The 25,439-nt window shown below is 36.3% G+C and overlaps 3 pseudogenes across 1 annotated transcript; all 3 read left to right on the forward strand.

Moving 5' to 3' along the window:
- OR5AK1P (olfactory receptor family 5 subfamily AK member 1 pseudogene) lies at positions 1,534 to 2,461 on the forward strand (annotated as a pseudogene).
- On the forward strand, positions 12,830 to 13,165 carry OR5BQ1P (olfactory receptor family 5 subfamily BQ member 1 pseudogene; annotated as a pseudogene).
- On the forward strand, positions 20,976 to 21,902 carry OR5AK4P (olfactory receptor family 5 subfamily AK member 4 pseudogene; annotated as a pseudogene). The gene has a single exon (NR_036445.1). The product of NR_036445.1 is annotated as an olfactory receptor family 5 subfamily AK member 4 pseudogene (transcript).
- Positions 21,903 to 25,439: the final 3,537 nt, after the last annotated feature.

The following is a 25,439-nucleotide window of genomic DNA, read 5'->3' on the forward strand; positions in this document are numbered from 1 at the left end:
ATATAAATCTACTGAAATGTATACAATTCTATTTCCTGATTTTACTATTAAAAGGTTTTGTTAACTTATTTTCAATGCAAGTTACATAATATTATATTTTATATAATATGCATGTTATTGATACTATAAACAAGTGAATGAACATAATTAACTTCCAGATGAGTTCTGTGATCCCCATTGTGCAGGGGAAGTAACTAGGGCCAAAGGGAATTATATGTCTTTTTCTATTAACTGGTGAGACAAAAATTCAAAACCACGGTTACCTATTTCCTTTCCACTGCACAAGGTTGACTATAAATGAAGCCTAAAAAACCCAGCACTACCCATATATTAAGCATGTTTAAAATGCTAGGGTAAACCCCCGTGGCATGAGTTTACCTATGTAACAAACCTTCACATGTACCACCAAACATTAATGTTAAAAAAAATGCTTAGATAGTTGGCCATTTTCTTTGTAGTATCCATTTGATTAGAAAACACCTTCAACATAGATGAAACAAAATATTTCATATTGAACCAGCCAACGATTAGCTCAATATTAAACATAGAAATGTACAGATTCTGTGTGAGATTGGAGGGGGGGGTTACACTAGTTTCCTTAGCTCCTGAGAAGCATCCTCATATTTTCATATTATTTTATTTAAATCCAGATTACTAAAGTCAAGTTGATATGATAAATGTCATTACTCTATTGAAATTCTAGCTTAACTAGACCTCTGGCCTATTCAAGCTTCCTCTAGTAAGTGTTTATCCAAATGAAAGAAACACTTTTTGAAAGGACTGCATTTCTTTCATTTTACAGTAAATTTACCCTATGAAGAAACTTATGCTAACTTAATATACCTCAGTATTCACTAAATGTTAAATTGAAGAGAATTGTTTCTGCTTTCTTGTTCCTCCACTACAGAACAGAAAAAAAAAAGCAATAGAAAATGTAAGGCTATTTCTCAGACATCAATTATATAACAGGTTTATTTTGCTTGTAAAGAATATCACCTAGATGGGAGTTGCATTCTAAAGATATAAATACAAAGATACTTTGAAGCCTTCAAACATATGTAAAGCATGAATATATTTAGGGAAATTTATCTCTAGTTTATTGTACTAATTTCAAGAGCTTTATCCAAAATTAAAATGGTAGGTGGCTGTGAACAATTGTAGGTTACTAAAGGGGTACAAAATTATGTTTTAATATTACTTTAGGTATGGATGCCTGTTTAATATAGTGAAAAATTGCTCATCTATATTTCTAAGAACTACACACATTAGAAGTCAGTCTTCTTCTAAGACAACCTTTTTCCTTTTGAAGATGAATTCATTTCCTCTTTCATCAAGTAGATCACTCTTTACTTGATGATTATAAATACATTTTTTTAATTTGAAAATGAGTAACACTATTGGGAGTATTTGTCATGAAAATCCAAATAGAAAAAAGTGACGTGAAATACAGAGCCATTTCATTGCAAGAAGTCACAAGGATTTCCCTTCTTTTCTGGGTCCTTCTCTTGGTCATTTCTAGAGTTTTGGTAGCCATGGCATGAGGAAACAGCACTGAAGTGACTGAATTCTGTCTTCTGGGATTTGGTGCCTAGCAAGAGTTTTGGTGTATCCTCTTCATTATATTCCTTCTCATCTATGTGACCTCCATAATGGGTAATAGTGGAATAATCTTACTCATCAACACAGATTCCAGATTTCAAACACCCATGTACTTTTTTCTACAACATTTGGCTTTTGTTGATATCTGTTACACTTCTGCTATCACTCCCAAGATGCTCCAAAGCTTCACGGAAGAAAAGAATTTGATATCATTTTGGGGCTGCATGATACAATTATTGGTTTATGCAACATTTGCAACCAGTGACTGTTATCTCCTGGCTATGATAGCAGTGGACCATTATGTTGCAATCTGTAAGCCCCTTCACTATACCGTAATCACGTCCCAAACAGTCTGCATCCATTTGGTAGCTGGTTCATACATCATGGGCTCAATAAATGCCTCTGTACATACAGGTTTTGCATTTTCACTGTCTTTCTGCAAGTCCAATAACATCAACCACTTTTTCTGTGATGGTCCCCCAATTCTTGCCCTTTCATGCTCCAATATTGACATCAACATCATGCTACTTGTTGTCTTTGTGGGATTTAACTTGATGTTCACTGGGTTGGTAGTCATCTTTTCCTACATCTACATCATGGCCACCATCCTGAAAATGTCTTCTAGTGCAGGAAGGAAAAAATCCTTCTCAACATGTGCCTCCCACCTGACCACAGTTGCCATTTTCTATGGGACACTCTCTTACATGCACTTACCAGTCTCATTCTAATAATTCCCAGGAGAATATGAAAGTGGCCTCTATATTTTATGGCACTGTTATTCCCATGTTGAATCCTTTAATCTATAGCTTGAGAAATAAGGAAGTAAAAGAAGCTTTAAAATTGATAGGGAAAAAGTTCTTTTAAATCAGCCCCAGTTGTTAACATTCAGCTCAACAAATCATCCAACATAGCTGTTCTGCCAAAATTTAATTTTTCTACAATAAGGAATATGTAGAAAGATGTCAAATTAATAATCTAACATCACCTCTAGAGGAATTTAAAATACAAGAGCCAACCAATCCCAAAGCTAGCAGAAGAAAAAGTAACTAAAATCAGAACCGAACTGAACAAAATTAAGACACAAATATTTATGCAAAAACTTAATGAAACCAAAATTTGGTTTCTTGGAAGAATAAATAAGATTGGTAGGCTGCTAGCCAGATTCACAACGAGAAAAGAGGGAACATCTAAATAAGCACAGCCAGAAAGAACAAAGGTGGCATTACAACCAATCCCACAGAAATACAAAAGATACTCAGAGAATATTATGAACACTTTTATGCAAATAGACTAGAAAATATAGAGGAAATGGATAAAATCCTAGGAACCCACAAACTCCCAAGATTTAATAAGGAAGAAATTGAAACCCTGAGCAGACCAGTATCAAGTTCTGAAGTGAAAACAGTACCAAAAATCTACCAACCAAAAACAAAGTACAGACCAGATGAATTTGCAGTCAAATTCTACCAGATGTAAAAAGAAGAGCTGGTGCCAATTCTACTGAAACTATTTCAAAAAATCGAGCAGGAGGGACTCCTTTGCAACTCATTCTATGAAACCAGCATCAGGTCTCTGATACTAAAACCTGACAAAGACACAATGAAAAAAGAAAACTGCAGGCCAATATTCCTGATGAACATAGATGCAAAACCATCAATGAAATACTAGCAAACCAAATTCAGCAGCACATCCAAAGTTATTTCACCATGATCAAGTAGGCTTCATTCTTTGGATGCAAGGTTGGTTCAATATATGCAAATCATGAAATGTCATTCACCACATAAACAGCATTTAAAGCAAAAACCATATGATCTCAATAGATGCAAAAAAAGCCTTCAATAAAATGCAACATCCCTTCGTTGTAAAAATTCTCTACAAATTAAGCATCAAAGCAATGTACCTTAAAATAAGTGCAATCTATGACAAATTTACAGCCAATGTCATAATGAATGGGCAAAATCTGAAGGCATTCCCCCTTGAAAACTGCAACAAGACAAGGGTGCCCACTCTCACCATAGTTCAACATAGTTCTAGAAGTCCTAAGCAGAGTAATTAGGCAAGAGAAAGAAACAAAAGACACCCAAATAGGAAAAGAAGAAGTCAAACTATCTCTCTTTGTGGACTATATGATTCTATATCTAGATAACCCTAAAGACTCTGTCAAAAGGCTCTTGGAGCTGACAAATGAATTCACTAAATTTTTAGGTTACAAAATCAATGTACAAAAATCAGTAGCACTTCTAAACATCAATAATGTTAAACTGAGAGCCAAATCAAGAATGCGAGTCAATTAATAATAGCTACCAAAAAAATAAAATATCTAAGAATACATCTAACCAAGTAAATGAAGTATCTCTACTAGCAGAGAATTACAAAACACTACTCAAAGAAATCAGAGAGGACACAAACAAATGGAAAAAGAGTACATGCTCATGGATTAGCATAATCGATATCATTAAAATGGCCATACTACCCCAAGCAATCCACAGATTCAATGCTATTCCTATCAAGCCACAACGCCATTTTTCACAGAATTAGAAAAGCTATTCTAAAATTCATATGAAAATGGAAAAGAACCCAAATAGCCAAAGTAATCCTTAGCAAAAAGATCTAAGCTGGAGGCACCATATTATCCAGTTTCAAAACATACTATAGGGCTACAGTAGCCAAAACAGCATAATACTAGTACAAAAACTGTAACATAGACCAGTGCAACAGACTAGAGAACCTAGAAAGAAAGCCACACACGCAAACACGGCTGTCTGATCTTTAACGAGTCAACAAAAATAAGCAATGGAGAAAAGACTTCTTATTCAATAAATGGTGCTGGGATAATAGGCTAGCAATATACCAAAAAAATAAAACTGGACACATACCTTTTAACATATACAAAAATTAACTCAAGATATATTAAAGAGATAAATGAGACCTCAAACTATAAGACTCCTAGAAGAAAACCTGGGAAACATCATTCTGAACATCAGCCTTGGGAAATAATTTATGACTAAGTCCTCAAAAGCTGTAGCAACAAAAAATTTGACAACTGGGACCTAATTAAATTAAAGACCTTCTGCATATCAAAAGAGACTATCAACAGAGTATACAGGCAACCGACAGAATGGGAGAAAATTCTCAGAAACTATGTATCCAATAAATCTAATTTCCATAATGTATACAGAACTTAAACCACTCAACAAGCAAAAAACAAATAACCCCATTAAAAAGTGGGCAAAGAATATGACCAGATACTTCTCAAAAGAAGACATACAAGAAGACAACAGCCATATGAAAAAATGCCTAACAAGACTAATCATCAGAAAAATGCAAATCAAAATCACAATGAGCTAACCATCTCATATCAGTCAGAATGTCTATTATTAACAAGTCAAAAAGCAATAGATGCTGGCCACACCATGGAGAAAGGGGAATGCTTATACCTGCTGGGAATGTAAATTAGTTCAGCCACTGTGGAAAGCAGTCTGGAGATTTCTGAAAGAACTTAAAACGAACTATCATTTGACTGTGTAATCCCATTACTGGATAATATCTAAAAGAAAATAAATTTTTCTACAAAAAAGACACATGTGCTTGTATGTTCATCACAGCACCATTCACAATAGTAACAACATAGAATCAGCCTAAGTGCCCATCATCAGTGGATTGGATAAAGAAAATACGGTACACATACATAAGGGAATACCACACAGCCATAAAAATGTACAAACTCAGGTCCTTTGCAGCCACATGGCTAAAGCTAGAGGCCACTATCCTAAGCGAATTAACACCGGAACAGAAAAGCAAATACCACATGTTCTCATGTATAAGTGCGAACTAAATATTGAGTACACACAGACACAAAGATGGGAAAAACAGACACTGGGAAATACTAGGCGGGAAGAGAACAAGTGGGGCAAGGGTTTAAAAAACTAACTGTTGGGTGCTATTGAAACAGAAGAGATCTCTAATCCCCCTGAGCAACAGGGGTGTGGCTCACCTTTTCTGTCACCATTGCTGCTCAAACCCCTGATGGAAGGGGGAGCACACAGACAGTCAGGTGCAGGAGCTGGGGCAGTGCTTTGAGCTCTGGCCACATGGTAGTGTCTAGGGGTGGGTGCCTGCAGCCCCAGTATTACAATGCTTTTTTAGCCCTGCCATTCGCAGACAGCTTAAATGTTAACCAGCTCAATGGACCCTCTGTCTTTTTGCAAGGGCAGAGGGCCAGTGTGACAGCTTCCTGTATCCAGAGCTCCTGCCCAGCATCCCAGAAAAATTGAGTCACACACAGGCTTGAAGGATGAATGGAGGATTTTATTGAATGGTGGAGGTGGTTCTCAGTGGGATGCATGGGGAGCTGAAAGGGGGATGGAGTGGGAAGATGATCTTCCCCTGGAGTTTTGCCCAATCCAGCAGCAAAACCTCCCTCTGACTGCCCCAGCCTAACTCCTCTTGGCATTCAGACGTTCCTTCTCTTCTCTTTATCTGCCACACCATTCCGCTGTTCATCTGCTCATCTCCTGTCTCATCTCCTCATCTGTTTCTGGAGCCTGAGGTTCGGGGTTTACATGGGCACAGGATAGGGGGGCGGAGTGGGCCAAAAGGCAACTTTTTGGATGCACGAACAGAAATGCCTGTTCCCACTTAGGGCTGTGGGTCTCCAGGCTTGAGGGTGGGGCCTTTGCAGGGGAACCATCCCCTTCTACCCAGTATTTTCCTGTCTCCTTTCCGTATCACTGTATTCACTACCTAGGTAATGGGATCATTCACATCCCAAACCTCAGCATCATGCAATATACCCGTATAACCTGTGCATGAACCTCCACATCTAGAATAAAAGTTGAAAGTATCAAAAAACAAAATAGGGAACTTATTCACATCATAAACCGATGCTACTTTTTTCAATAGATAAGCACTTTAATTTTGGAAAATATAATAGAAACATCTCCTGGGGCTAAAAAATGCTTCCCAGGAGATACTGACAATACACTAGTTTTAAAGTTTCTGACTTCACCATTCAAACAAATACAGATTAAAGGAAAACACTCTCTCTGGGAAGATAGCTAGGGAGATACCAAATTACAGAGGAAATGCTGTAGCATCTTTCTATCCATTTGATGATTAATTTCCTGCTTTATTGGCTCTGACTGATCATGTGATTCATTCTGCCACCAGAAAAGATGAATGTGCCCACCAATAAGGAACATAAAGTTGAGGAAAATACTTGCTCAACATTGGATTCCCAACATCCAGCATATTCTTACCACATTGTAGTTGCTCAATAAACATTTGTTCAATAAATGAATGGACAAATGAAAGCAGAAAGGAAAGACCAGAAATCTAGACAGAGCACTCTCAGTGGAGTTGAGAGGAGTCAGCTGCAGTCCAGTGCAGCTGTTTCTGGATTCTGAAGCAGCAAACAGAGCTTTGCCAAGCTTACTGGGTGAACCAACTGCCTATAACAACACTGAACAGTGTTGTTGTAAATAAACACACAGAAAGTACCTGTCTGTCATGTTATATGCAGAAGTGTAGAATAAAAGAGCAACAGGATAAACATGAGCAAGTTGATTCCTTCAGCTCCTCAGTGTCTTAATGTTATGTTTTTCAATACACAGTTTATGGAATAAAATATGTGAAACCAGTTTGGTAGTTTGAGCAAGCTATCAGGAATCTCCAAGAATTGTTTGGTTGTTATTACTGATGTTTTCTTTTGATTTTAGAGGTCAAGTTTGTGTGTGTGTGTGTGTGTGTGTGTGTATACATATATATATAATGCGTGTGTGTATGCATGTGTTACAGAAGACAAAAGGGAAGAAGGATCTAATGGCATGCAGGAATTATAGACACAGAGGACAGCATGGACAGAACTATCACTTAATCCAGAGGAGTAGTGAGCAATTTTGGCAGTGGATGCATGTGTGGTGTCTCCATCATTCCCCACCAGAAAAATTACACATTTCAGGAATTAATCCTCAACACCTGAAATGATCCTTTGCATAGATAACTTACTACTACAGTTAAAAAAGAATCAAACTACTGCCAAGGATATTGTTGCTATGATATCCTACTGCCAAAGATATCGGTGATCGATCTTCTGTAAGGCAGAAGATAATGGTCATCTACCACTATAGTGAAAGGGGAAGTGATTTTGGGGATAGTAAACATAACAGTACATCAGAGTTATTCCAGGTGGAGTGGAATAGTGCCATTCTCTAAGACTTAGATGAGGTGGTGGTCCCCATTACAACCCCATTTAATTCACCAGTCCAGGACCTATAAAACCCAAACAGATTGTGGCAGAAAATTGACTACCACAGTCTTAGCCAAATGGAAGCACCAATCTCAGCCACTGTCTCAGATGTGCAATTGTTACTGGAGCAAACAGCCTTTAGTACTATGCACTGGCACTAATTTGGAAACGCATTATTTTCCACACGTATCAGGAAGCATGTTCAGAAGGAAGTTACCTTCTCTTAGCATGCATATCATGAAACATTCCTAGTCGTTTCCAGGGCTATCTGAACTCTCCTCAGCCACTGTAGCCTAGGGGACCTTGAGCATCTGGAAACCTATAGAACACCATTCTGGTCCACTATAGTAATGACATCACTGGACCTGAGGAAGAGGAAGTAGAAGTACTCTGTGGTAGTTTGTTACAGAAGCAATAAGAACAGGAAACTAGCGCAATACTCATGAAAAATAATGCCAAGTAACATGTAACACAAAGTGTATAGCAATATTGTGTATAGTAGAAAAATCTGGAAACTACTACAACACCCATTGGCAGAATCTGTTGGTATAAATCCTCTAAGAAGCAGACACCAAGATAGGATCACACATGCAAACATTTTTAGGGGGATTCCAATGTAAAATGAAATAGGACAATGGAAAAAACTAGGAAAAATGCAAGTCTGACCCCAAGTCAAGAAGAGAGGAAGAGAAGATTGGGCAGAATCATGTGAGACTGTCATAAAGTAGAAGGATGATTTGGCAAAGTTATTGAGAAATCCTTGAACCAAAATGGGCTGACAAATGAGTCCTGTGTCTCCCAGGTATGAGTCTGCCTTAGAATCCATTCTGCACACAGTCATTGGCAGAGAGCAGCCCATGGGAAGTGGGGTCTCAGAAAAACTACTGCAAAGGATTTCAAAGTGAGAAGCTCAGATCCTGGGTCATTTACACTCCTTGAAGGAGGCCTACAAATTCATTCGCATGACTGCTACACAGGTGAAGGGATAAATTAATTAGATTTTAATCACATAATGGAATATTATGCAGCAGTGAAAATGAATGAACTGCTGCTATGACACAACAGAAAAGTTTTAACACAAGTAAAAATAAACATCCATGAATAAAATAGAAAAACATTTTTCATTAAGTTCAGTAACAGGCATACTAGAAAACATATGGTTCAGGGGTGCTTGTGTGTGTGTGTGTGTGTGTGTGTGTGTCTGTGTGTCTGTGTGTCTGTGTGTCTGTCTGTTAAAGCTATAAATCGAAAAATAAAAAGATACAAAGAAACATTCATAATGTTGCTGTTTCCAGATAAGGATGAGGCTAATTTATATATTATATAAATAAATATATATATAATATATAAATATATATATTTATATAATATATATTATATATATAATATATATTATATAATATATAATATATAATAAAATATATTATATATTATATAAATATATAATATATAATAAAATATATATTTATATAAATATATAATAAAATATATTATATATTTATATAAATATATATTTATATAAATATTATACATTATACATAATAAAATATATAATATATTTTATATAAATATATATTTATATATGTATATACATATATACGTGTGTGTGTGTATATATATATATATATATTCTGGCTGCCATCCTGAGGTTGCCTTCTGATAGAAAGAAAAAGGCCTTCTCACGAGTGTCTTCTACCTGAAAGTTGTCACCATTTTCTCTCAGCTCTCTCTGACACGTACTTACATTCTGTTTCTAGAAAGTCCCAAGGACAGAAGAAAATCATCTCTGGATTTTGTAGCACTGTGAGACCCGGGTTAAATCCTCTTATTGATCACAAGTCATAGAGTATTTTCACGTACATTTTCTATTTCCATTCTCCTTATGGCCTGCAGAATCTAGAATTAGCCCCATTTATCGTGAGAAAACTAGGTTTCCTGCATCAAACCCAGGTTTTTGATTCCACAACTAATTATTCAGAAAAGGATACAAACTAAACCCATAGACAGAACAACACAGGATGAACAATCCTTACATTTTAGTCACTTACAACATTTTTTAAATGATCTCTTCTGAAAAGATTAGCTCTTAATCTGACAGTGATGTGCCAATCAATGTTGTATGTTTTTAGCTCATTTCAGTCCTCAGACACTGAGATCTTTACAAGTCCTATCCCCACAGGCCTCAGAAATAAAATGCCCCATTTGAAGCAATCAGAAAACCTTATGCTAGGAAGCAACCAGCCTTGCACCAGATGTGAAAAAGAAAGTTCTAAGATGAATCTAATAAAAAGCCTATGTTTTCATAATTAGTTATGCATTTTTGAATATCTGGAGAAAGCAGATGAATAATAAAGAGCATTATACAGAAACTTTGCCCCATGTCTGGGAAGCACATTGTATGTCTGGAAACACACTAATTCCAAAAAAATTAATTCTGGAAAACTTCGTTAGTAACTGGATTTTCAAAGCTTTAATTTTTAGATTTTGCACTGTATAATAAACAGTATTATAGTTCCAAATTTTAACAAAAGACAAGAAATCCACATAAATATATGCCATCCAGGCTTACATATTTGCTAAGTAATACATACTGAACTCCATCATAGCCTCAAAAATCACAGAAATTGAAAAACTTACCCAGAAAACAGGCCCAGGAGTTTGAATGGGTCATAGATCACAAAAAGCATAAATTCCAAGGGTCTCTGCTATTCTGTTCCAAGATCAATATTAGGGATAGTGCTTAAGAACACAGACATTAGGTTCAAAAAGTCTAAAGCACTGTGGTACATATTAAAATAAGTATGTGTCGGCTACATACATAAACAATGCTGAAATGGCTTAGAAGTAGAAAAACATGAAAACACATGATCAAGTCAAAATAAGCAATTACAGGGTATTAATTACACAATTTACTATGTGATTTTTCTTCTAGCTGGACAATAATAATAACAAAATGGAAGGGTAAATTCAAATGGGACATGTTCATCAAAATGTCAAACTATATGAGCAATGTAAAGACCTAGAGTAAAGCAACAGCTAAATGGGAGATTCTTTCGAGATATGTTTATAAAAAAATAAAGAAAAAAAACTGCAAAGTCCCCACAAATAAGGAACATTAACTAACATACCAGGAAAAATGGCTACAAACTTTAAGAGATGAGACCATGGAAAGTTGAAGAGTGATGATATCAACTTCAAATTAGTGAAAGGCATTTTTTAAAATGAGTTTAGACACATTACTTTATGCCACCACTCTCGGGTATTTTAATAATACACTGTTCCATTTCAAAGAAAAATTTAACAGAGTAAGAACACAATGAAATATCACTAAATAACTATATAATGGATACAATTTTATTTAATTGTGAAAACACTAAATACTATTGAGGACACAGAAAAAATAGATCGCTCATGTATTAGTTGATGGGATTGTAAAATAATACAGCCACTCAGGAAAACAGTTTGGCAGTTTCTTAAAAACTCAGCAGGCAACTACCATATGGCCCAGCACACCCAGCCATTTATTCCAGTGAAATGAAGGCTCCCGTTTATATAAAAACCTGTACATGAATGTTCACAGCTGCTTTATTTGTAAGAGACAGTCACTAGAATCAGCCCAGATATCCTTCAACATGTTAATGGTTAAATAATCTGTGGTACATACATATCATAACAACTTGGATTAATCACTTGGGAATCATGCCAAGAAAAAAGCCAACCCCGAAAGGTTATACCTGGTATGTATCCATTTATATAGAATACTTTAAATGACAAAGTTTTAGAAATGGAGGAGAGATTAGCTGTTGCCTGGAATTAGGGATGGAATGAGAAAGGCATGTGGATGGGATGGGGTGGCTGAAGTTATAAAACAGCAGCACAAGGAATCTTGGTGGTTTGGGAAATATGTGGTGTCGACTGTGGTGGTGAATACAGGAAACCAAACAGGTGATAAAGTTTCATAGAACTTAATACAAACACACTCACACAAGTAAAGACTGGGAAAATTTGAACAAGATCAGTGTCGTGTCAACATCAATGTCCTCCTTGTGATGTTACACTGTACGCTCACGATATGTCACCAATAGGGTGTATCTGTTTTCTATTGCTGCTATAACAAATCACAACAAAAATAAATGGCTTAAAACAACACAAATTTAACATATTATGGTTCTGGAAATCAGATGTCCAAAATAGGTCTCAAATCAAGTTACCAGCAGAGCTGTGTTCCTTTCTGGAGGCTCTAGGAAATGATCCATTTTCTTCCCCTGTTTCGGTTTGTAGAAGTCAGTGGCATTCCTTGGCTGTAGCCCCTTTCCTATCTTCAAAGCCAGCATCACAGCATCTTCAAGACCCTCACTCCACACTTCTGCCTCTTTCTTCTGTTTATAAGGGCCCCTGTGGTTATACTGGCCCTAACTGGATAATCCAGAATAACCTCCCCTTTCAAGGTGTGCCAATTAGCAATCTTAATTTCATCTGCAACCTTAGTTCTTCTTTACCACATAACCTAATACATTCACAGATTCCAGGGATTAGGATGCAGACATCTTTGGGGAATCATTAGTCTTCCTATCACAGAAGGAAACTAGGCAAAGTGTGCAAGGGAGGCCAAGTGGCTCACGCCTGTAATCCCAGCACTTTGGGAGGCCCAGGCAGGCGGATCACCTGAGGTCGTGAGTTCAAGACCAGCCTGACCAATATGGAGAAACCCCGTCTCTACTAAAGATACAAAATTAGCCAGGCACGGTTGCATGTGGCTATAATTCCAGCTACTTGGGAGGCTGAGGCAGGAGAATCACTTGAACCTGGGAGGCGGAGGTTGCGGTGAGCCAAGATTGCTCCATTGCACTCCAGTCTGGGCAATAAAAGTGAAACTCCATCTCATTAAAAAAAAAAACAAAAAGTGTGCAAGGGAGCTCTCTGTATTGTTTCTTACAATACATGCAAATCTACAATGATGTCAATAAAAATTCAATTAAAAATACATGTAGTAAAAATAGTTGCTAATCTATGCTGGAGTTTACTTGAATGTCACTATGCTGATCGTCACCTTCAAGTACACACATATCTTCCATCATCCTGAGCTTGCCCTCTGCTATGTGTCTTTTTCCGCAGTTGTCTTCCACCTGACAGCTGTCACCATTTTCTTTGGAGCTCTCTCTTACATGGACTTACAACCTGAATCTACTGTGTTTCAAGAGCAAGAAAATCCAGCATCCATATTTTGTGGCATTATGACTCTCGTGTTAAACTTCCTTATCTACTGCCTGTGAAATTAGGAAGTAAAAGAAGCTCTACAGTTAACAAGGAAAAAGTATTAATACATGTAGACTGAGGGTAAATTATTAACACTGAGTGTCAGAAGTATCCTGTGGTGAGCGCCCTGCCATATTTGCTGATAGCATATTGGTCAAAGCAAGTTGCAAGGCCAACCCAAACCTGGATTCAAGGTGTTGGAGTAACAGGCTCTCCTGTCTGATGGAAAGATCTGCACCACTGCATCACGATGATGTGAATGTAACAAAAACTTGGGGACCATTTTTATAACCTACCACAACATGTTCTTACTAGAATAAATTGTTTCTTAGCTGACACCCTAATCAGAATATGAATCATCCTGCCACAGATGTTGATATGAGAAACAAACTGAATCTCTATAAAGGCACAATAATTTATATTTGCTCATTATTTTATCCCCAGTGTCTACCAATTGTCAGGAATATATAAAGTGCTCACTAAGTAGTTGTTGAATTAATGAACAAAGAATTCAACAAATGAATTAATGAACAAAGTCAAGCCTCTTTGTTTGCCAGGAGGCTTTGGTCACTGGAAAGTCCAACAATGTGGTTTATGTTGGGGCCTTTGGGACATGCCATATCAGTTCTGATTTCCAGAGAACGGGGGACAAAAGTCATTATGCTGATCCTCCAGAAAGGCTGGGAACTAACATCAATTACAGGAGCAGTATGCAATCGAGCCCTGATAAAAACCCTGAGCACCACAGGATCAGGTGAACTTCCTGGGTTGACCTGAAGCCAATATGTATGACAACTCCATGCATCAATTGCCATGCATTGATATGGCAAAAGCATGATGGAAACTTTATGTTTGCACCCCTCTGAGACCTGGCCTTATGTTTCTCTTTGTTTGTTGGCTTAATTTGTATTCTTTGGCTATAATAAATCTATAATTGTATGTATAGTCTTAAACAATTTCCTAATGTCTTAATTCACATTCTATACTAAACAACCACAGACTAAGTGACTTATAATTAAAGGAGGCCAGGAACAGTCGCTCACACCTATAATCCCAGCACTTTGGGAGGCCGAGGTGGGTGGATCATGAGGTCAGGAAATCGAGACCATCCTGGCTAACATGGTGAAACCCGATCTCTACTAAAAATACAAAAAATTAGCCCAGCGTGGTGGCACATGCCTGTAGTCCCAGCTACTCAGGAGGCTGAGGCAAGGGAATGGCGTGAACCCAGGAGGCGGAGCTTGCAGTGAGCAGAGATCACGTGACTGCACTCCAGCCTGGGCGACAGAGCGAGACTCTGTCTCAAAAAATAATAATAATAATAATAATAATAATAAGTAAAAGAAATTTATTTCTCACAGTTCTGGAGACCAGAACAATTCCACCCCTAACCCCCAAAATTAGTGTCCTGCTGACATGCAAAATACATTCATTCCTCTCCAACAGCCCCCAAAGCCTTAATTCATTCTAAAGACTAAAATGTCAACTAAATATTATCTAAATTAGACATGAATGAGACTCAAAATGCAATTTATCCTGAGGCAAATTCTTTCTTCAGTTGTGAACCTGTAAAGCCAAACAAATTACATGCTTCCAAAGTGCAATCGTGGCATAGACATTTCCTTTCCAAAAGCAAACCCACTGGAGCACAGGACACCCTTCCAGACCCACTGAGGTGGCAAAACTACCCCCACAGCTTGGGGAGGCACTGCCCATGCTTTGGCACTCTTCCATGGCCCCTAATGCTTCAGTTCTATTGGGTTGGGGATTGCACCACCACCAGGGTTTGGCAAGATACCCCAACCCAACTTTCTAAGTATTGGTCCCATTCTTTGGCAATCCCACCTCCTGGGCTCATGCATTCTAGGAATGGTGACCCTGATGATTTCTTAATTGCCTTCCAGGTTCTTTTTTCCTTGTCTTGAAAAATACTACATGTATACACCCAGATACTTCTATAGTTCAGTACAGCAGGGTCTAAAAAGTCTTATAGGCTGTTTTCATTTTGTCCTATCTTCTCTGTTTCCTTTAGTCCTATCTGGCAGTACTCCCACTGGCATAATCCCATCTCTATTCTTGTCTTTTGTTGAGATGACTGATTAAGCCTGTCATTCACATTCATACTAATCTTATCAAATGGACACTTGGCCACAGCCTTCGTGTTCTCTTCCAAATACACTTTCTCACTTTTGCAATACGGATAGGCTAAGAATTTGATTTTCTAAATCTTTAAGTTCTGGTTCATTTTTTGCTTAAAGAACCATCTTGAAACCATTTCTCTCTTTTTGCATTTTATTATAAGCAGTCAGGAGAAACTAAGCTGTTCCTTCAATACTTTGTTTAGCAATCTTCTGCTCTCAACCTCTACCTTCCACAAAACCCAGAACATAAACACAAGTCAGCCAAGTTCTTTTCTACCTTATAACAAGGATCTCCTTTTCTCCATTTTCCAATAACATATTCCTCATTTTCATCTGAGACCTCATCAGAAGGGCCTTTACCTTCCATGTTTCTACCAACATTCTGTTCATGGTTACCTACATATTCTCTAAGAATACAGAAACTTTCTGTATAGTTACCTTTTCTTACTGCGCCCTCACCAAAATGCCTTTAAAAGTCTGTTCACATAAATCTAGGCTTCTTCTAAGATGCACCTAAAAACTCTTCTAGGATCTACCTATTTCCCAGTTCCAAAGCAGATTTCTACAATATTAGGAATTTCTAATGGGCGGCACCACCCCTTATACCAACTTCTATCCTAATCAGTTCAGGCTGCTATAGGAAATTAGCATAGATTGGGTGGTTTTATAAATAAAAGAAATTTATTTCCAATTCTGGAAGTAGGAAATCCAAGATCAGGGTGCCAGCATGGTCAAGTTCTGATGAGGGGCCTCTTCGGGTTTGCAGGATACTCAAAGAAGGCAAGAGAGCTCTCTGGGTTCTCTTTCATAAGGAAACACATCTCAGTCAGAAGAGCTCTACCCTCATGACTTTATCTTCCAAAATCCTTACCTCCTGAATCACCAATTGAGGCTTCAGAGTCAACAGATGAATTCTGAGGGAATACAAAAATTCAGTCCATAACAGCTGAATTTTTGAGTCACTCTAGTGAAGTATCAAACCTGAGGGTGAGTGTGTAGTGAGAATTGCTCCCTCAGAAGACAGGTTTCTAAGCTCCTCGAGGGAAGTTTCCAAGGCCGCAGAGACCGGGAGCAAGAATAGCGAAATACAAAAGGAGAAAATCCAGCAATGGAGGAATTACTTTGCTGGTATACACTCCGGAAAACTGGAACTTGATCCTACAGGGGATTCTGATAAAATATGTGGAATGTCCTTCAGAATTATTCTTCTAAAAGACAGGAACTTAAGACATTTTTTCAACTCCCCTCACCCAGTGGTTTGGGATTGCCCAAGGATTTTAACATCCTCACGCACCTGTGGTGGCCCTGATGAGTGATCTTTAATGTTTTCAGAGATATTTCTGAGGCAGAGAAGCAGAGAGATGTTATAGAAGATGGACTGCTGGTAGCACAGACAAAACTGTCTACCACAGATGCACTGAAATCAAGTACTAAGGAAGTGCGGTACAAGACACAAAGATATCTGCTAATCTATGTAACACAGTTCTAGCAAATAAGATGTACGTAAAAGTCTGCTGGGGAGTTTGCAGAAGGCATTATATATGTATATCATATATATCTGTCAAGGGTATATATGTGGTGTCACCCTGCTGTCTTTGTCCCTGTTTTTCTTTCTTTGAAAGAGAATGTGACATCTAGAGCTGAGATAAATTTACATTAAATTTAGATTCTTTCAGAAAACCAGGCTTATTGCTGATTGTGGTGACAGGGATGATTAACTAGACCTAAAAATAATTTCTTAGATATATAAAAACATGCTCATCCTCATTCTTAACAAGAAAAAAAAGCAGCTGTTCTCTAACAAGACAGCTCTTTAAAAAAAGAAGAAGTCCCTAATGACAGTAACATTGGGAAAAAAATAGGCCCTCTAGAAAGTTTAAATTTTTGTCAGCATGAAATATGTAGTGAACATTGTTTTTCCAAATTGCATCTCAGCCACCGAAACCTCGAATCTCAAGAAAGTGAATATCGATCTCTTAGGCCCAACTATAAACACCTGATAGTGAATAACCAAACAGAGATAGGCCATGGTGGGTTATCAGGCTGCACAGTGGCAGAAAGAGACTCTGGAAGCAATCTGGGGGGAAATAAAACAAAGCAAAGCGCATCTTCGGCATCAGCCATGTATCAATGTTATCATTGCAGTGTGTGCAGGTAATGGTAGAGCAAGAATCAGAGCCTAAGTGCTAGCATGTTTCACCCCAAAAACAGGAGGAGTCACTTCATCCCTGGTGGTGTGATGAAAATGGAGTGAGGGAACTAAATCGGGCTGTGTTGCCTGGAAATTACATGAATTAACAAATGATTGACTTATTGAATTAATGAGTGAATATAATATGCCCTTAATGCATTATTTGCATGTATTATTATGACTAATTTTGAGCATCCATTCAATACTTTCCTTGTGCTGGGACGTTCACGTGAATCAGCTGCTTGTCATTATAATCAGGATTCTAGGTTAAGTGGACCCTGACTTTTTCTAGCTTCCTCTGACGAGTGCTTTTACCCACTGGATGGAAGGAAGCCCCCTTGAAAGACCTGCATTTCATATATTTTATAGCAAATTTACCTGAGGAGGCAACTTATACAAGCTTATTGGCCCTCAGCCCTAAGTGTAGACTTGAAAAGAATTGTTTCTTTTTCCTAGAGTTAACCCACTCTGCTTATTTCTTAAGATAGTGGAAAGGGCCAGAGAAGCCCATATCAACACCCAGCTTAGCTTGCTAGATACCCCATCAATAAAGGCACATTCTTACCTGAAACAAATCACTTCATCTTTGCAGCTACAGCTCTACCTGGCATTACTGACATCAGAATAAAGGATTCCAGTACTGATATATTGGGGATGTGATTTTTTTCTTCTATGACCAATTTCTACTATTATACAATATTTAAGATGTACAAATATATATTTTAAATTGGCCAGGCGCGGTGGCTCACGCCTATAATCCCAGCACTTTGGGAGGCCGAGGCAGGTGGATCACCCAAGGTCAGGAGTTCAAGACCGGCCTGGCCAACATGGTGAAACCCATCTCTAGTAAAAATACAAAACTTAGTCACGTGTGGTGGTGGGTGCCTGTAATCCCAGCTACTAGGAAGGCTGAGGCAGGAGAATTGCTTGAACCCAGGAGGCAGAGGTTGCAGTGAGCCAAGATTGTTTTTATTTTAATTTTTTTTAATTTTTGTGGGTACATATTTTTTGGCATTTATATGTGTTTAGAATAAATTTACCTGAATAAATTTCCAACATGAGTAAATTTCCAGTCAGTATCCAGTCTGTTCTCTTTAATAATATTGATATTTTTATTTTAATATGGCAGAATTTTCGATGTTTTATTGCACTCCAGCCTGGGCAACAAGAGCGAGACTCCCTCCCAAATATATATATATACACACACACACACACACACACACATATATATACACACACATATATTTATAATCATTTAACAACAACTCATGTAGCTTGCCATCTAACTTCGGCAACTTGCTTTTTATTACTTAGCATTCCATTTGAAAGATGTATCCATGCAGATGCTGTAGCACCATTTAACTAGCTTATTTAATAGCTCGTATTTTTTTCTATGACTATGCTATAAACATTCTTGCGGGTATATCTATGTATACACATGTTCATAGATATTTGTATATCCTTCTATATGTGGTCATGAATTTTTCAAGAATATGTACCTACACTGGAAATTCTGGACCACAGAAAGGCATACATTTAATTTTACTGATATTTCCAAATTTGTTTCCAACATGACTGTACTAATTCTCCTTCCCAGCAGAAATATGTGAATCCCTGTGGCTCCACATTACTCATCAAAAATTGGCATTTCAGATTGTTGAGCATAAGACTGTATTTCAATGAAGTATTAATATGAAATTACCTGATTACTAGTGAGTTGTTCATCTTTTCACATTTCTGTTGGTCATTTGGGTTTTCTTTTCTATAATTATCTGGTTTATGTCCTTTGTGAATTTTTCAAGTTTATTTATAGAAATTATTTATATGTACTAGACACTAAATTTTTATTTTTTTTAAGTTTTGTGGCTACATATTTTTTGGCATTTATATGTGTTTAAAATAAATTTACCTGAGTAAATTTCCAACGTGAGTAAATTTCCAGTCACTATCCAGTCTTTTCTCTTTCATAATATTGATATTTTTATTTTAATATGGTTGAATTTTCAATGTTTTACGATTTGTGCTTTTATGTCTTCTTACATTTTATCTGTATATCTAAGTCATAGGTATTCAACATAGTTGATTCTAGTGTTTTTGTGGGTTAATTTTAAAATAGAAAATCAAATCATTTAATATTTTGAAATTTAAATATTTGGTACACACACACACACACCAACTACTAAATAATGTCTTTCCTGTTAGCTTTCTTTAAAAAAAAAAATATTGAGAAACCACAAAAATATCAGGTTATATGTATGGTATAAAGTATTATGATTCAGCAAGCATCAGGTAGCAGCAACACACTATAAGAAGGAAAATAAGTTTTATCATTGCATTTGTATCCACAGGGAAAATGAACTAGAGAAAGGAATGAACTTCATTCCTTTTTTTTTTCAAGAGAACAAATCATAAAACAAAAAATGATCAATTATCATTTCAAGTTTAATAATTTCTGGTCCATGAAAAGCATATTATAGACAAAGTTAATAGATAATACAATGTTTGGAAATTTTTGTCAAGTCAACTGATAAGTTAAAAAGAACATTTATAAATCAACTCAATAGAAATATTTGTAAAAAAAATAGGAACAGGCAAATTACAGAACAATAGAATTCCAAAATTCTAAGAAGGATATTACATTTGCAGTTAGAGGAAAAAATTAAAATGGTATGCTACTTTACACCTGTTTTGTGGCCCAAGAAAAGAAAAAAGTAAAAATACCAGTGTTCACAAGGAAGTGTGGATATCGGAATTCCCACACGCAATTAGTAAGACTGTTTACTGGTGCCTCCATTGTGGAAAGTGATCTGCAATGCTTGTCAAGTTAAATGTGGGCATATCCTCAGATTCAACAATTTTGTCTCTAGGAGTACATCACTGAGAAATTTTCACACTGAGTTACTTGTATCGGAGACAAATTGTAAGCAATTTGGTATCTATCCATAACTGGATAACAGATTGGGAATTATTTTTAAAATAAGATCATTTGGCACAGATACTTGGATAAATACTTCCGTGAAGAGTTCTACATAGCCATGAGTCATGATGGCCATGGTGGAGTTAGTAAGAAGGGGAAAAGGGTAAAATGAAAATATGGAGATAAGTTGAAACAAGGTCATATAGAACCCTAAGAAGAAGTCAAGATTTTTAGATATAAAATTACTATTTAGGTAAATTGAGATATTTTAATTAAAATATAAAGAACATAAAAGAAGTCATAATTAAATAAAAGAATATTTCATAGATTTCTTAACCGATATATTTTTGAATTGCCAATCAGTTTGTACCCCGGGAATATAGCAACTGCTCCATTGCAATTTGTACAAACTGTAGATGAAATTCTAAGCTGGCTGTCAAGTTTCAGCCTTTAAAATAGAAGTCAATCATGTCACAGAAAGTACATGCTGACCCCACTATGAAACCAAATATTAAGACATTTCCAAATCTGAAATAAGTTAAAAGATAACAATGATTTTAGCTTTCTCTTTCTATTTGCTTCTTTCTTTGCATATTTTCAGCTGATATTTAATCTATGCTAGCCATGGAACAAAATAATGGCACTGAAGTGACTGAATTCATTCTCCTGGGATTTGCTGGTCAACACAAGTCTTGGCATATCCTCTCCATAGCATTTCTAGCAATCTATGTGGTTACCCCAGTAGGTAATATTGGAATGATCCTACTTATCAAAATTGATGCTTCTCTTCATATCCCCATGTAAATTTTCCTCCAACACTTGGCATTTGTTGATCTCTGTTACACCTCTGCTATCACTCCCAAGATGTTGAAAAACTTTGTAGAAACAAAAAAATCTATCTCATGTATAGGATGTATGGTGCAATTACTAGTTTATGGTACTTTGCAACAAGTGACTGCTACATCCTGGCTGCTATGGCAGTAGACCGTTATGTGGCCTTCTGTAACCCACTCCATTATCCAGGGGTTATGTCCCAGAGACTCTGCATTAAGCTATTAGTTAGTTCATATGTCATGGGTTTCCTAAATGCCTCTATAAACATAAGTTTCACTTTCTCATTGAACTTCTGCAAATCCAAAACAATTAATCACTTTTTCTGTGATGAACCTCCAATTATTGCCCTACCATGCTCCAATATTGACCTCAACATCATGTTATTAACAGTATTTGTGGGATTAAATTTGATGTGCACTGTGATGGTGGTCATCATTTCCTGCATATATGTCCTGGTTGCCATCCTGAGGATATCTTCTGCTGCAGGGAAGAAAAAAGTCTCTCTACATGTGCCTCCCACCTGACAGCAGTCACCATTTTCTATGGGGTTCTCTCTTACATGTATCTATGCCATCGTATTAATGAGTCTCAAAAACAAGAAAAAGTGGCCTCTGTGTTTTATGGCATTATTATTCCCATGTTAAACCCCTTGATTTACAGCCAGAGAAACCAAGATGTGATTGAAGCCATAAAACTAACAGAAAAAAAGTATTTCTAATTTGAACTTTGATTTCTATCTCAACATGGCTCAACAAGCCAGCCAACAGTGCTCTTATTTCTCAATCTCAGAAAATATGACAAATGTCTATAAGACAGAAATGCATTACTTAATTATATCAATAGCATTTGAAAGATAGAGAAAAACATTTGGAATGATTAAATAAACAAACTTCTAATCCATGTGTTCCTTAAAGAAAATGTGTCTAAAACAATATCTTTGAAATTGCATCCATACATTTTAATGAGGCTTTTTTGAGATATCTGTCATCAAAAAAATAGTAAAGTAAATCAATGAGAAGTGCATAATCAATGTTGTGTAAGGACTTCCATTAAATAGAGTATAAAGACTCAGCAGGGGGTAGAGGGAATCTTTTCTTTTCTTCTCTTGAGAGGTATTTTTCTCTACAGCCAATCTATTTGTAACTGTAAAGTAAAATTTGAAAGATTATTTCTTTGGATAATATATGCAGAAAAGAAGGAAGGAAAGGAAAGACAGTGGAGTAAATCTTCACGGATATTGGGGTATTAGGGACAAATATCCATCTTTTCCCTAGTTTCCCTGACAAATTAGGAAATCAGTGCAGGAGTCAGAAAAATATAGAGCATATCAATTTTGTCACTGGTAAATATAACTTCAATATTCAGCTATACCTTCTTGCAAGTGTACATCTTAGGAAAACAACATACCATGCAGAGTCTGGTGCTACCGAGCAGGCTCATTTACCCAGAATTCATACCTTATATCCATCAATTCCCAACAATGAGAATTAATGCAGAATTATAGGCTTAAATCTAGAACTTAAATATGGGATCAGACTTTAGTGTTCCCGTTGTAAAAAAGTAAAATAAAATATGTGTATTAAAACATACACAGATGTGTATGTATTATGTGAAATATATGCACATATATGTGTATATATATGATATACATATATATATTATATACATGCAGGAGATATATGATTACAGGAGATAAAACCCAAAACTGAGAAACTCAAGAGCTTATACAGCATTGATAGTGACCTGCTCATCCTCCCCTCTATTGAAAGAAACCTTATTTTCACTCTAAAATGTAAGCAAATCTCCAGATAGGAAAGGACAAGTCTTTATTTACCTCCTGGACCATCTCTGGAGAGAGAGGCATCTCTAAGTTTTATTATCCTGATATATCTCCTCATGCAAACCTTCTTAAATGTAATGACTATAAATGCCTTTGCTCATAGAAATAGGCTGTGAAGAAATGTGAATTATTCTTTGAGAATCTGTGTACCAAATAATATAGCTTTTATAGTCACAGAATTTAAAAAAGAAGAAGAAACAGAAAATAAATGGGCAAAAGATACACAATAGTAGTAGCAAATGCTACTTCGTCTCTTCCAATTCATGACAGACCAACTTGAGAAAAAAACTTTAGAATTAAGTTATAGAAGTTATGTTATATAATTAAAAAGATAAATCAAATTCATATATAGGAACTTTGTTTTGTTCAAATCTACTGACCAAACAGGGCTGTAGTCCAAATTTTAGGTTTATTTTCCTTTTGCAGCACACACTCCACAGAGCTGTAAGTATCTCAGTAAGAGAAATATGAAAGGGGATTTTCATAGAGTATGGGCTTTGCTGCATGAATCCAAGAATGAAGGAAGGAATCAGTGGCTCTCTGTAGATTTGGATACTCTGAGGAGTAGGGAAAACTCAGAAATTAGATATTTTAATATGCATTGCTCAAGAGGTGGGAAGAACAAAACAGAAATGATCATGCTATTGATGAGAAAGCAGTAGTCATTCAGAAGTGAAAAACTATAGCATAAAATGTGGGGTAGGGGAGAAGTAAAAATTTAGAGTTTAATATGCAATTGGAATTAAGTTGTTATGAGTTTAAATTAGAATATTATGACTCTAAGATGTTTTATGTAAGGCCCGTGATAACTACAAAGTAAAAGCCTCTAGTAGATACAGAAATGACTTTTTAAAAAGGAATCAAAGCATAACACCACAAAAATTTAGCAAATTACAAAGACATACAGTAAGAATTGAAAAAAGGAATAAACAGACTACAAGTCAGTGAACAAGTAACAAAACAGCAGTAGTAAGCCCTTGCCTGTCAATAATTACTTTAAATGTAAGTGGATTAACTTCTCCAATCAAAAGACACAAAATGGCATAATAGATTAAAAAACAAGATCCAACAATACGCTCTCTACAAGAGACTGATTTTAGACTTAAGGACACACATGGACTGAAAGTGAAAGGATAGAAAAAGATATTTCATGCAAACAGTAAATAAAAGAGAGCAGTGGTAGCTATATTTACATGAGATAAAATAGAATTCCAGTCAAAATCTGTCATAAGAGACAAAGAAAGTGAATATTTGATGATAAAGGGGTCAATTCACTAAGAGGCTATAACAATTGTAAATATATATGCACTCAACATTAAGGTATCTAAAGATACAAAGCAAATATTAACATCCCTGAAGGAAGAAACAGATAGCAATGGAATAATAGTGGAGGACTTCATCACTTCACTTTCAACTATGGATAGGTCATCCAGACAGAAAATCAATAAGGAACAGCAAATCTGTGGACTTGATCTATAGTATGGGCCAAATCGACCTAATAGATATATATAAAACATTCTATCCATCAGAAATGGCATATACATTCTTTGCAAGCACATACAGAGCATTCTCTGGGATAGATCATATGCTAAGCCACAAGATGAGTCTTAACAAACGTAAGAAGATTGAAATCATCTCAAGTATCTTTTCTGACCATAATGGTACAAAACTAAAAATCAATAGCAGGAGGGATTTTGGAAACTTTACGAATATGTGGAAATTTAAAAACACACTCCTAACAACCAATGAGTCAAAAAAAGAGATCAGAAGGAAATTTTTTTTAAATCTTGAGACAAATTAAAATAGAATACCACACACCAAAACTTATGGGATGCAGCAAAAGCAGTGCTAAAAGGAAGTGTATAGTATTAAGGACCGACATTAAGAAAAAAAAAAAAAGAAACCTTAAGCCACCTAACTTTACACGTCAAGGAACTAGAAAACTAAGAGCAACTAAACCCAAAGTCAGCAGAAGGAAAGAAATAATGTAGATTAGGGCAGAAATAAATGAAATAGACATGAGAAATGCAATAGAAAATATCAACAAAACTGAGTTGGTTTTTTGAAAAGACAAATGCTATTAACTAGCTTTTAACAAAACTGACCAAGAAAAAATGAGAGAAGATTCAAATAAAATTACAAATGAAAAAGGAGACATTACAACTGTTATCACAGAAATACAAAGAATCAGAGACTACTATGAATAATTATACATCAATAAACTGGTTAACTTAGAAGAAATATACAAATTTCTAGAACATATCACCTGCCAAGACTAAATCATGAAGATATAGAAAGTCCAAATAGGCCAGAAGGAGTAAGAAGATTGAATCAGCAATCAAAAATCTCCCAAGAAAGTAAAGCCCAGGACCAGGTGGTTTCTTGAGTATATTCTACCAAGCATTTAAAGAAAT

This window comes from Homo sapiens, chromosome 11, assembly GCF_000001405.40.
Source record: "Homo sapiens chromosome 11, GRCh38.p14 Primary Assembly".
NCBI lineage: Eukaryota > Metazoa > Chordata > Mammalia > Primates > Hominidae > Homo > Homo sapiens.